The 13,645-nt window shown below is 38.6% G+C and overlaps 1 protein-coding gene across 4 annotated transcripts in view; it reads left to right on the top strand.

Moving 5' to 3' along the window:
- The window catches only part of TEX11 (testis expressed 11), a 397,485-nt gene that overhangs the window by 88,749 nt on the left and 295,091 nt on the right, over nucleotides 1-13,645 (top strand). For all 4 annotated transcript variants that reach the window (XM_017029649.1, XM_011530994.2, NM_031276.3 and 1 more), the window contains one exon: nucleotides 13,173-13,258. In XM_017029649.1, the coding sequence (XP_016885138.1) occupies nucleotides 13,173-13,258 (86 nt within the window). The remainder of the gene's footprint in view (nucleotides 1-13,172; nucleotides 13,259-13,645) is intronic.

Here is a 13,645-nt window from a genome sequence, read left to right as displayed (position 1 = left end):
TCCAATCTGTGAATGTGGGATGTATTTCCATTTATCTATGTGCCCTTTAATTTCCTTCATTGATGCTTTACAATTTTCAATGTAGAAGTCTTTCACCTCTTTAAGTTTATTGCTAAGTATTTTGTTTTTTGTTGTTATTGTAAGTGGATTGTTTTCTTAATTTTCTTCTTGGATAGTTTGTTTTTAGTGTATAGAAACGTCACTGATACTTGTATGTTGATTTTGTATCATGTTACTTTAATTTGTTTATTAGTTCTAACTTTTTTTTGGTTGAGTTTTTAGGATTCTCGAAATATATGATCATGTCATTGGCAAGCACAGATGATTTTACCCTTCCTTCTCATTTGGGTGCTTTTTTCTTTTTCTTTCCTAATTGCTGTTGCTGGGACTTCTAGTACTATGTTGAATAGAAGTGTTGAGGGATGGGCTTCCTTGCCTTGTACTAGATCGTGGAGGAAAAGCTTTCAGTTTTTCCCATCAATTATGATGTTAGCTGTGGGCTTTTCATTTATGGCCCTTTGTATTGAGTTATGTTCCTCGTATACCTATTTTGTTGAGAGTGTTCAGTTTAATGGATGTTGAATTTTGTCAAATGCTTTTTCTGCATCTATTGAGATAATCATGTGGTTTTAATCTTTCATTTTGTTAATATAGTATATATCACATTGATTTTCACGTGTTGAACCATGCTTGCATTCCAGGGATAAATCTCACTGGATTGTGGTGTATGATCCTTTTAATATCCTTGTTGGATTCAGTTTCTTAGTATTTTATCGAGGATTTTTGCATCTGTGTTCATCAGGGAAATTGGCCTGCAGTTTTCTTCTGGTGTCCTTGTCTTGCTTTGGTATCAGAGTAATGCTGATTTCATAAAATGAATTTGGAAATATTCCCTCTTCTTTTATTTTTTGGAAGAGTTTGAGAAGGATTGATATTAATTCTTCTTTGAATGTTTGGTAGAATACACCAGAGAAGCCATTTAGTACTGGGATTTTTTTTTCTGGGGCATTTTAAAATTATTGATTCAATCTCTTTATTTGTTATTGGTCTATTGTTTCTATTTCTTCTTGGTTCAGTGTTGTTAGGCTGCATGTTTCTAAGACTTTAGAAGTAATCACCTCTTGCAGACATTGTGGACTGGTTTTGGTAGGGAAAAACCTTCACCTGTGGGTGTGTGCAGGTGTGCTAGATTGGTGAGGTGTGTGGTGGTGCTGGTTCTGGATGCATGCAAGAATGCTAATCCCAGGGATATGTGGTGGTTCTAGGGCTAGGGAGTGCGTGGTGCCACCAGCTCAAAGGGGGATGCTTGAGATCACCTTGGGGGAGCAGTATCACAGGCTCCAGGTGCATTGGTTGTGGGCTTTGGGTGGCTCCAGCAGCTGAGGTCCACTTTGGCAAAGACTGTGGGGGTCCTCCACTCTGAAGGCTGAAATAGTCCTCAGTGGAAGGCTTCTGGAATTTTCCTGTTCTCCTTTTCCTTCACTTTGGAACTCATAGCTGAAGGAATACCTCTAAGTATTGAGCTACCCTGGCCTAGGGCATGGGGTGATGCAGGCAAAATAAAACTGTTCTGTTCTTCCTACTGTTTTCTATGTGGTTATCCTCAGATTTTGTGTTCCAGTGGGTTGCTTCAGCTTCTTCTTCTTCTTTTTCTTTTTTTCAAGACAGGGTCTCACCTTGTCACCCAGACTGGAGTGCAGTGGTGCAAAAGCGGCTCACTGCAGCCTGGACCTCCTGGGCTCAAGTGATCCTCCCACCTCAGCCAGCCCCACCTCCCTCCTGTGTAGCTGGGATTCCAGGCGCGCGTCACCACGCCTGGATAATTTTTGTATTTTTTATAGAGATGGGGTTTCGCCATGTTGCCCTGGCTGGACTTGATCTCCTGGGTTTAAGTGATCCGCCCACCTCGGCCTTCCAAAGTGCTGGGATTACAGGCTCTGGAGCTCTCTGAGAGCTGTTTTTGCCTGTATATAGTTGTTAAATCATTGCTTTTGTGGAGACACTAGGGCTGGGAGCTCTTAGTCTGCCATCTTGCTGGTGTTACTTGACTTCTATGTGTTTTTTACGTGTTGCCATTACTTTTGAGCACGTCATTCCTTTCGGGCACAATAAAATATTACAGGCTTATTTTGTATTCCTTTCCTTTCCTTTTTTTTCCTTTCTTTTTCATTCCTTTCCTTCCTTTTCCTTTCCTTTCTTTTCCTTTTTCCTCTTTCCTTTTTTGAGACAGGGTCTCACTCTGTCACCCAGGCTGGAGTGCAGTGATGTGATCTCACTCTCTCTGTCACCTAGGCTGAGTCACCCAGGCTGGAGTGCAGCGGCATGATCTTGGCTCACTGCAACTACTGCCACCTGGGTTCAAGGGGTTCTCCTGCCTCAGCCTCCTGAGTAGCTGCCATTACAGGCGTGTCCCACCACGCCCGGCTAATTTTTGTATTTTTAGCTCACTGCAGCCTCGATTTCCCGGGCTCAAGCAATCTTCCCACCTCAGCCTTCTGGGACTACAGGCACGTGTGTGCTTTCTTGATCAAGCCATGAAATTAACTATGTATCTCAGGAGACCTTATTTATTTTAGTAGAAAATCTTATTTAGAAGCCAAGATCTGGGCATTACGCATCCTTATTGCTTTTGGGATGTCACTGCTCTCTCAGACCCTCACAGTGGAAAGAGCATATGTGTGTGTGTGTGTGTGTGTGTGTGTGTGTGTATATATATATGTGTGTGTGTGTGTATGTGTATGTGTATATAAATATGTGTGTGTGTATGTATATATATCTATATTATATACACTCATACATTTCCATTACATTTATCTATATTATTTATTATCTATCTATCTTCTATCATCTCTAATATACTGAAAACCATGATATCGTCTGTTTCAATCCAACAACAAAATATTCATCCTAATTTTCTCCCTTTTCATGTTTCTAATTCTCTTCTCCAACAACAAAAAACTTGGCTTCAATTATCCTTAATGTATTTATGTATTTAATCAGTACCCCTGTATGTTACCAGTCTTCCATATTCTCTGCCACTCTATTCACTGTGAGGATGCCCTCTTCTCCATGCTCATTCTCTGATTCTTCATTTTGGGTTTCTTTCCCTGGGTGCTTACCCTCTTCCTTCTACTCTGACTCCCTTTACCTTACCATTATTTCATGTCTATGTTCTCTCACCCTATTTGGGCTCTGAATCTACATGCTCATCTCCTGGATGGAAGAATAATACTTTTTTTTTTTTTTTGAGACAGAGTCTCACTCACTCTGTCACCCAGGCTGGAGTGCAGTGGCACGATCTTGGCTCACTGCAACTGCCGCCTCCCAGGTTCAAGCGATTGTCCTGCCTCAGCCTCCTGAGTAGCTGGGATTACAGACATGACCCATTGTGCCTGGCTAATTTTTGTATTTTTAGTAGGGCTGGGGGTTTTACCATGTTGGCCAGGCTGGTCTCAAACTCCTGACCTCAAGTGATCTGCCTGCCTCAGCCTCCCAAAATGCTGGGATTACAGGCAAGATAATACTTTCTTATACTAGACTGATTGCATAGAATCTTATCGGGGAGACCACTCAGTCCTCAGAATCTCTGTCCCCCTGGAAAATTATAGAACTATAAAAATAAATTTTAAAAATACCTGTTATTCAAGTGGCCACTGCTATAGGAAGAGAAAGTACATAAAAAATGGATGCCAGTCATGGAGTAATGGGTGATGACATCAGTATGCCTCTAATCCTATTGGAGACTATTATTCTAAGCGAAGTAACTCAGGAATGGAAAACCAAACATCGTATGTTCTCACTCATAAGTGGGAGCTAAGATGTGAGGATGCAAAGGCATAAGAATGACACAGTGGACTTTGGGGACTCAGGGGGAAAGGGTGGGAAGGGGATGAGGGATAAAAGACTACAAACTGGGTGCAGTTTATACTACTCGGTTGATGGGTACACCAAAATCTCACAAATCACCACCAAAGAACTTACTCATGTAAACAAACACCACCTGTTCTCCAATAACCTATGGAAATAAAAAGTTAAAAAAATTAAATAAAATTTTAAAAAGATGTCCTTAATACTTTTAAGATGATTTTGTGAAGTCCTAAAAAATCAAAACCAAAAAACATACTCTTAAGCAAGTCAAATCTAATTAACTTCTATTTTAAAGTAAATATATGCCACACAGCACTTGTAGAAGTTTGACAGAAGCGTGAAATCAAGCGATGAAATGGATAGCAATGCAGTAGTCCCCCCTTATCCGTGGGGGACATGTTCCAAGATGTCCAGTGGATACCTGAAACTGCGGATAGTACCAAATCCTATATATACTATGTTTTTTCGTATATATACATACCTCTGATAAATTTTAATTTATAAATTGACACTGTAAGAAATGAATACTACTAATAAAATAGAATAATTATAACAATATCCTATAATAAAATTTATGTGAATGTGATCTCTCTCTCTTTTAAAATACCTTATTTTATTATACTCACCCTTCTTTCCTTGGGTAACCGAAGCCATGGCAGGAGGGAAAACCATGGATGGGGGGAACTACTGTAATGGTTTAGTGTCCAGCTTCTATAAGTTTATAGTAATAAATGTATTAACTGGAATAACTAGGACACAGTAATGTTTTATTTAATGGAACTTCCTGATTTAGTGAGAGTTAGAAAATTCTTATATTTTGAACATTTATTTTAAAAAATGTTTGCATATACTTACTTTTATAAGTGGAACATAGGGATTCTTTCTTTGATATTTGAGACTCTTGTAATTAATTACTCAAGACAATGCTCATGATCTGTGTACAGCCTTGTAGGAGGAGCTACTCATTAGTATCGCTAGTTGTGAGACATTTCACTGCTTTGAAAATCAGTATTCTCATCTGTAAAGTGAGAGTGTATGACAACATGGTCTCAAAGATCACTTCAGTGTAAAAATTCCTAGTCCTCAATTTAGGGAAGCCCTGAGCCATAGTGCAGAGGGTATGTGTTCCTATGTATGTATTTTTTATAATAAAATTCTCTGGGAGCAGCTTGTTTACTTAATTCTTTACCTCTTTCTCCTGTTAATCAGAATTTTATTTTGAGTAGTTTGTATGCTTTGGCTTGCTTTGTTATCTTTTATTTCTATCTTTAGTTTCTTCTAGAAGTTATCTTATGTATAGAGTTTTACTTCATTGTGAAGCTTTTATTTATGCAAAGGAAATGGCCAATTGATGTCTGAAACTCTTTGAAGTAATTCGTTCAAGATTCAGCTAGATTTCATTGCTGCTCTGTGGGACACAAAGCTTCTAAATGAGGTCTAGGTTGCTTACTCTATTACAATTCTTTTATTCTCTTTTGCCTAAATTTACCATTTTGTAGCCAAATATTTGAAAGATAACGTGTAAATATTCTGTACATTTCTCTCTGTAGTAACATTGAATCTCTTGGCACATAAATGAATTACTCCTTTTGATGTAAAACTCAGTTTTCTGCCTATTATGGGCTAGTAGGCATATATTTGCTTTCTGTAGACCTTTCTGCCCACTGCTTTACGTATCTGGGAGAGCCTAATCACTTAAGGTTATCTAGTTTCATTCCAAACTCAAAATCATTTGAGCCTTAAAAATGACTCACTGGTTTTTGTCAGGTTTGTCAAAGATCGGATGGTTGTAGATGTGTGGTATTATTTCTGAGGGCTCTGTTCTGTTCCATTGGTCTGTATCTCTGTTTTGGTACCAGTACCATGCTGTTTTGGTTACTGTAGCCTTGTAGTATAGTTTGAAGTCAGGTGGTGTGATGCTTTCAACTTTGTTCTTTTGGCTGAGGACTGACTTGGCAATGCGGGCTCTTTTTTGGTTCCATATGAACTTTAAAGTAGTTTTTTCCAATTCTGTGAAGAAAGTCATTGGTAGCTTGATGGGGATGGCATTGAATCTATAAATTACCTTGGGCAGTATGACCATTTTCATGATATTGATTATTCCTATCCATGAGCATGGAATGTGTTCTTCCATTTGTTTGTGTCCTCTTATGTTTCACTGAGCAGTGATTTGTAGTTCTCCTTGTAGAGGTCCTTCACATCCCTTGTAAGTTGGATTCTTAGGTATTTTATTCTCTTTGAAGGAATTGTGAATGGGAGTTCACTCATGATTTGGCTCTCTGTTTGTCTGTTATTGGTGTATAAGAATGCTTGTGATTTTTGCACATTGATTTTGTATCCTGAGACTTTACTGAAGTTGCTTATCAGCTTAAGGAGATTTTGGGCTGAGACGATGGGGTTTTCTAGATATACAATCATGTCATCTGCAAACAGGGACAATTTGACTTCCTCTTTTCCTAATTGGATACCCTTTATTTCTTTCTCCTGCCTGATTGCCCTGGCCAGAACTTCCAACACTATGTTGAATAGGAGTGGTGAGAGAGGGCATCCCTCTCTTGTGCCAGTTTTCAAAGGGAATGCTTCCAGTGTTTGCCCATTCAGTATGATATTGGCTGTGGGTTTGTCATAAATAGCTCTTATTATTTCAAGATACATCCCATCAATACCTAATTTATTGAGAGTTTTTAGCATGAAGGGCTGTTGAATTTTGTCAAAGGCCTTTTCTGCATCTATTGAGATAATCATGTGGTTTTTGTCTTTGGTTCTGTTTATATGCTGGATTACATTCATTGATTTGCGTATGTTGAACCAGCCTTGCATCCCAGGGATGAAGCCCACTTGATCATGATAGATAAGCTTTTGGATGTGCTGCTGGATTTGGTTTGCCAGTATTTTATTGAGGATTTTTGCATTGATGTTCCTCAGGGTTATTGGTCTAAAATTCTCTTTTTTTTGTTGTGTCTCTGCCAGGCTTTGGTATCAGGATGATGCTGGCCTCATGAAATGAGTTAGGGAGGATTCCTTCTTTTTCTATTGATTGAAATGGTTTCAGAAGGAATGGTACCAGCTCCTCCTTGTACCTCTGGTAGAATTCAGCTGTGACTCCGTCTGGTCCTGGACTTTTTTTGGTTGGTAGGCTATTAATTATTGCCTCAATTTTAGAGCCTGTTATTGGTCTATTCAGAGATTCAACTTCTTCCTGGTGTAGTTTTGGGAGAGTGTATATGTTGAGGAATTTATCCATTTCTTCTAGATTTTCTAGTTTATTTGCGTAGAGGTATTTATAGTATTCTCTGATGGTAGTTTGTATTTCTGTGGGATCGGTGGTGATATCCCCTTTATCATTTTTTATTGCATCTATTTGATTCTTCTCTCTTTTCTTCTTTATTAGCCTTGCTAGCGATCTATCAATTTTGTTGATCTTTTCAAAAAACCAGCTCCTGGATTCATTAATTTTTTGAAGGGTTTTTTGTGTCTCTATCTCCTTCGGTTCCCTATTTAATAAATGGTGCTGGGAAAACTGGCCAGCCATATGTAGAAAGCTGAAACTGGATCCCTTCCTTACACCGTATGCAAAAATTAATTCAAGGGCCAGGCGCGGTGGCTCATGCCTGTAATCCCAGCACTTTGGGAGGCCGAGACGGGCAGATCACGAGGTCAGGAGATCGAGACCATCCTGGCTAACACGGTGAAACCCCGTGTCTACTGAAAATACAAAAAATTAGCCGGCCTGGTGGTGGGTGCGCCTGTAGTCCCAGCTACTCAGAAGGCTGAGGCAGGAGAATGATGTGAACCCAAGAGGCGGAGCTTGCAGTGAGCGGAGATCGTGCGCCACTGTAATCTAGCCTGGGTGACAGAGTGAGACTCCGTCTCAAAAAAAAAAAAATTAATTCAAGATGGATTAAAGACTTAAATATTAGTCCTAAAACCATGAAAACCTAGAATGGTATTGCCTAGAAGAAAACCTAGGCAATACCATTCAGGACATAGGCATGGGCAAGGACTTCATGTCTAAAACGCCAAAAACAATGGCAACAAAAGCCAAAACTGACAAATGGGATCTAATTAAACTAAAGAGCTTCTGCACAGCAAAATAAACTACCATCAGAGTGAACAGGCAGCGTACAGAATGGGAGAAAATTTTTGCAATCTACTTATCTGACAAAGGGCAAATACCCAGAATCTACAAAGAACTCAAACAAATTTACAAGAAATAAACAAACAACCCCATCAACAAGTGGGCAAAGGATATGAACAGACACTTCTCAAAAGAAGACATTTATGCAGCCAACAGACACATGAAAAAATGCTCATCATCACTGGCCATCAGAGAAATGCAAATCAAAACCACAATGAGATACCATCTCACACCAGTTAGAATGGCGATCATTAAAAAGTCAGGAAACAACAGGTGCTGGAGAGGATGTGGAGAAATAGGAACACTTTTACACTGTTGGTGGGACTGTAAACTAGTTCAACCATTGTGGAAGACAGTGTGGCGATTCCTCAGGGATCTTGAACTAGAAATACCATTTGACCCAGCCATCCCATTACTGGGTATATACCCAAAAGATTATAAATCATGCTGCTATAAAGACACATGCTGACATATGTTTATTGCGGCACTATTCACAATAGCAAAGACTTGGAACCAACCCAAATGTCCATCAGTGATAGTCTGGATTAAGAAAATATGGCACATATACACCATGAAATACTATGCAGCCATAGAAAAGGATGAGTTCATGTCCTTTGCAGGGACATGGGTGAAGCTGGAAACCATCATTCTCAGCAAACTGTCACAAAGACAAAAAACCAAACACTGCATGTTCTCACTCATAGGTGAGAATTGAACAATGAGAACACTTGGACACAGGAAGGGGAACATCAGACGCTGGGGCCTGTTGTGGGGTGGGGGCAGGGGGGAGGGATCGCATTAGGAGATATACCTAATGTAAATGATGAGTTAATGGGTGCAGCACACCAACATGGCACATGTATGCATATGTAGCAAACATGCACGTTGTGCACATGTACCCTAGAACTTAAAGTATAATAAAAAAATTTTAAAAAATGACTCATTGGAATATTTGTAACGACATGTTCTGTAAATTTTAAGTGAGTCATATACTTTTAAACTAAATATCTACGGTATATGGAAAGCTTGGTTAGATTTGTCCATGTTTTGAGGCTCTTTATGTAGCCATTAGAACATTTATTATTCATTCTAACAAATACCAATGTTGATTTTTAGCTCAGGTTGTCACTGTTATTTTTTAAAGTATGGGGTTTACTTTTTTTTTTTAATACTTTAAGTTCTGGGATAAATGTGCAGAATGTGCAGGTTTGTTACATAGATGTACACGTGCCATGGTGGTTTGCTGCATCCATTAACCCGTCATCTACATTAGGTATTTCTCCTAATGCTATCCCTCCCATACCTCCTCACCCCTCAACAGGCCCCAGTGTATGATGTTCCCCTCCCTGTGTCCATGTGTTCTCATTGTTCAGCTCCCACTTATGAGTGAGAACATGCGGTGTTTGGTTTTCTGTTCCTGTGTCAGGTTGCTGAGAATGATGGTTTTCAGCTTCATCCATGTCCCTGCAAAGAACATGAACTCATTCTTTTTTATGGCTGCATAGTATTCCATGGTGTATATGTGCCACATTTTCTTTATCCAGTCTATCATTGATGGGCATTTGGGTTGGTTCCAAGTCTTTGCTATTGTGAACAGTGTTGAAATAAACATACGTGTGTATGTGTCTTTATGATAGAATGATTTATAATCTTTTGGCTATATACCCAGTAATGGGATTGCTGGGTCAAATAGTATTTCTGGTTCTAGATCTTTGAGGAATCACCACACTGTCTTCCACAATGGTTGAACTAATTTACACCCCCACCAACAGTGGAAAAGCGTTCCTATTTCTCCACATCCTCTCCAGCATCTGTTGTTTCCTGACTTTTTAATGATCACCATTTTAACTGTCGTGAGATGGTATCTCATTGTGGTTTTGATTTGCATTTCTCTGATGGCCAGTGATGATGAGCATTTTTTCATGTGTTTGTTGGTCGCATAAATGTCTTCTTTTGAGAAGTGTCTGTTCATATTACTTTTTAATGCCTACTTGTTGCATGTAATTCTTTTTTATCAGTGTGTATCTATACATAGTTTAAAGAGTAAAATAAGTTTACAGGTCTTTTTACAAAATCACCAGTACCTATGAAAAATTAGCCAGGCTTGGTGGCGGGTGCCTGTAATTTTGGCTATTCGGGTGGCTGAGGCACGAGAATGGGTTGAACCTCGGAGGCAGAGGTTGCAGTGAGCCGAGAACGCACCACTGCACTCCAGCCTGGGCGACGGAGTGACTCTATCTCAAAAAACAAAACAAAACTAACCCCGAAAAACCAAGATCACCAGTACCCATCCTGACTTTTGGACTTATTTTTATCTCACGTAACAGCTACTTTCAGTTATTTTAGTTGGCTCTTTTTGTATTTACCTCCATGTATCTACATAGTGTTCTTATACTGCTGTGCTGCTTGATTTTTTTACTTTTAGATATTATATATTGACTTCCCACTTTAGAAGGTGAATTTAGTTTCTTTTCTTTTTCCCTCTACCCCCAACACATATGCTCACTTCCTGTCACTCCATCATCTCTATATAGTTTACCATAACTTTGGTTAGATTAATATTTAGTGTTTACACTCCAGTGTTTATATGAATACTATCATAGTTGAATCATATAAAGTACCATGATTACTTTTCTTTTCTTTTCTTGCACAAAAGTTTGTTTTTCCCTGGAGTTAATTATATTGGTTTTCCTGACTACTTAGTATTTCATGTACTTGGTATTGTTTCTTCCCTAATTATGTAAACTTCTTTTTAGTATGTTAGAATGTATTAGTTATTTTATCACTTTCACTTGCTTAAAGAAATAACTGTCATAGTTTCTGATCTTCTCTTATCTGTACAGATTGTTGTGTAAGCATCCTGTTCAGTTATCGTTTTGAGATTTTCCTCCTCCATTGACTTGGGAATTCCTTTCAACTCCCTCATAGATTGTAACCCTGTTTCTTGAATCCTGTGTCTTTCTTTTTCTGATTTTACTCCCTAAATTTTGTGGGGCATATCCTCCAGTAGCTTCTTGAGAAAGGTTGCATGAAATGAAAATTGTTTGAAGAGTTTGCATGTCTAAACATATTTTTATTGTACCATCATAATTTATGCTTTCACTGGATATAAAATTTGGACTTGGAAATAATTTTTCCTGAGTATTTTGAAAACATCAGTTAGATTCTCATCTAGCTTCTGATTTGACTACTGAGAAATGTGTTGCAATTTTATTTTCTTTTACTTTTTTTAAATATAAAATTTTTACTTTTGTGGGTATATGATAGATGTATCTATTTATGGGGTACATTAAGGTTTTGATGTAAGCATGCAATTGATAATAATCACGTCATGGAAAATGGAGTATTCATCCCTTCAGGCATTTATCCTTTGTGTTACAAACAATCCAACTGAACTATGTTAGTTATTTTTAAATGTATATTATTTATATAATAATAATAATTATTATTATTTTGAGATGGAATCTCTCTCTGTTGCCCAGGCTGGAGTGCGGTGGCATGATCTCAGCTCACTGCAACCTCTGCCTTCCGGGTTCAAGCGATTCTCCTGCCTCAGCCACCCAAGTAGCTGGGATTACAGGTGCCCACCACCACGCCCAACTAATTTTTCTATTTTTAGTAGAGACAGAGTTTCACCATGTTGGCCAGGCTGGTCTCAAACTCCTGACCTCAAGTGACCCACCCACCTTGGCCTCCCAAAGTGCTGGGATTTCAGGCTTGAGCCACGGTGCCCAGCTTAAAATTTATAATTAAATTATTATTGACCATAGTCACTCTGTAGTGCTATCAAATACTTGGTCTTATTCATTCATTCTTTTTTTTTTTTTTTTTTTTTTTTTTTTTTTTTTTTGAGACAGAGTCTCACTCTGTCATCCAGGCTGGAGTGAGTGCAGTGGCACGATCTCGGCTTACTGCAACCTCCGCCTCCTGGGTTCAAGAGATTGTCCTGCCTCAGCCTCCTGAGTAGCCCGGATTACAGGCACCTGCCACCACGCCTGGCTAATTTTTGTATTTTTAGTGGAGACGGGGTTTCGCCATGTTGGCCAGGCTGATCTTGAACTCCTGGCCTCAAGTGATCCACCTGTCTTGGTCTCTCAAAGCGCTCGGATTACAGGTGTGAGCCACCGTGCCTGGCCTATTCTTTATTTTAGATTCAAATATATAGTAGGTCTAATGTGCTCAGACATGCATATTGAACTTCTGCTATGTGAATGTACTGTAATTCAAAGGGAAACTTTTTTGAAGCAAGACAGGTCTTTATACATTACTTATGAATAACTTGCTTCAGATCTTGGATTCTTAGTTGAGGATCTGCTTCTGTAGTCTTACTCGGGTAAAACTTATAAAAGACTTTTTATATGGGTATAATCAAATTCTCTAGATAGGTGGTTTCTATAAATGCTGAGGGGATATTTGGATAAATTATTAGCATCAAAATTTCTCCTATGCCATTTCCCAGTATTTTGAGAGATGAAAATTATGTAAAACATGGCATTAATGCAGGGACTGAGATGCTGATTCCTAAGGCAACATTCATATACTTGTTCCTACTTTCATCTCAATGCTAATTTATGTAAAGAAAATGATTGTTGATGCTAAAGAGTGTCCATGAAACTATTTCTAAATACGTCTTTTGACTAGATAGTGCTTTGGACACATTTTAGAACTTCAGAATTTTTAGAATTGTCTCAATTTTGAAAAAAAAAAATCATTCATTTCCCAACCTCACTCCTCGTCAATAGTGATTTTTTGTCTTTGAATATACTCCCTGCTCTAGTGCCTTTAACTGGATCTGGCAACCAAAAGCAGGGTTTTAGCCTGCCCTTTGGCTGGGCAATGATTGGGTTTCTCATTTCCTGTTACAAAGCATCTTTTAACTTCTATTAGTAATTTATTGTAATACTTTTTCATACATAACTAATTCTCCAACCTGAATGTTTTGCAGTTCTTCTTTATACAAATTGAGAAGTTTTGATAAGGAAGCTTATTTTGATGTATAGGACACATTAAGTATGTTTTTGTTTGTTTGTTTTTTGAGACGGAGTTTTGCTCTGTCTCCTAGGCTGGAGTGATGTGGCACCGTCATGGCTCACTGCCACCTCGGCCTCCCAAAGTGTGTTGGGATTTAAGGAAATCATGAATCTAATGCATTTTTTTTATATTGCAGACTTCAAGTCTTCATCATCTCTGTTACAACTTTGGAGTAGAAACCCAGAAGAATAATAAATATGAAGAAAGTTCTTTCTGGCTTAGGTAACATAAACAAAAAACTGAATGTAAACTCGGGAATATTATCATAGATGTCAGTTAATATTTACTGTAGAGTACTTTGGCAGTTTAAACCTTCTCTGACTTCAGAAGCCAACATGCTATATTTATTTACTCTTTTAACATGTATTGTTTATTATTCTTACACATTGTCAGTTCATAGAAAAATGTGTTCTTCCTTCCTTCCTTCATTCTTTCTTTCTTTTTTCCTTTCTTTCTTTTTTTCTTCTTTTTTTTTTCGTATCTCTCTCTGTCACCTAGGCTGGAGTGCAATGGCATGATCTCTGCTCACTGCAACCTCTGCCTTCTGGGCTCAAGCGATCCTCTGACCTCAGCCTTCCAAGTAGCTGGGACCACAGGCATGTGCCAGCA

This window comes from Homo sapiens, chromosome X (genome assembly GCF_000001405.40).
Source record: "Homo sapiens chromosome X, GRCh38.p14 Primary Assembly".
NCBI lineage: Eukaryota > Metazoa > Chordata > Mammalia > Primates > Hominidae > Homo > Homo sapiens.
This window is presented reverse-complemented; position numbering and strand designations above follow the sequence as displayed.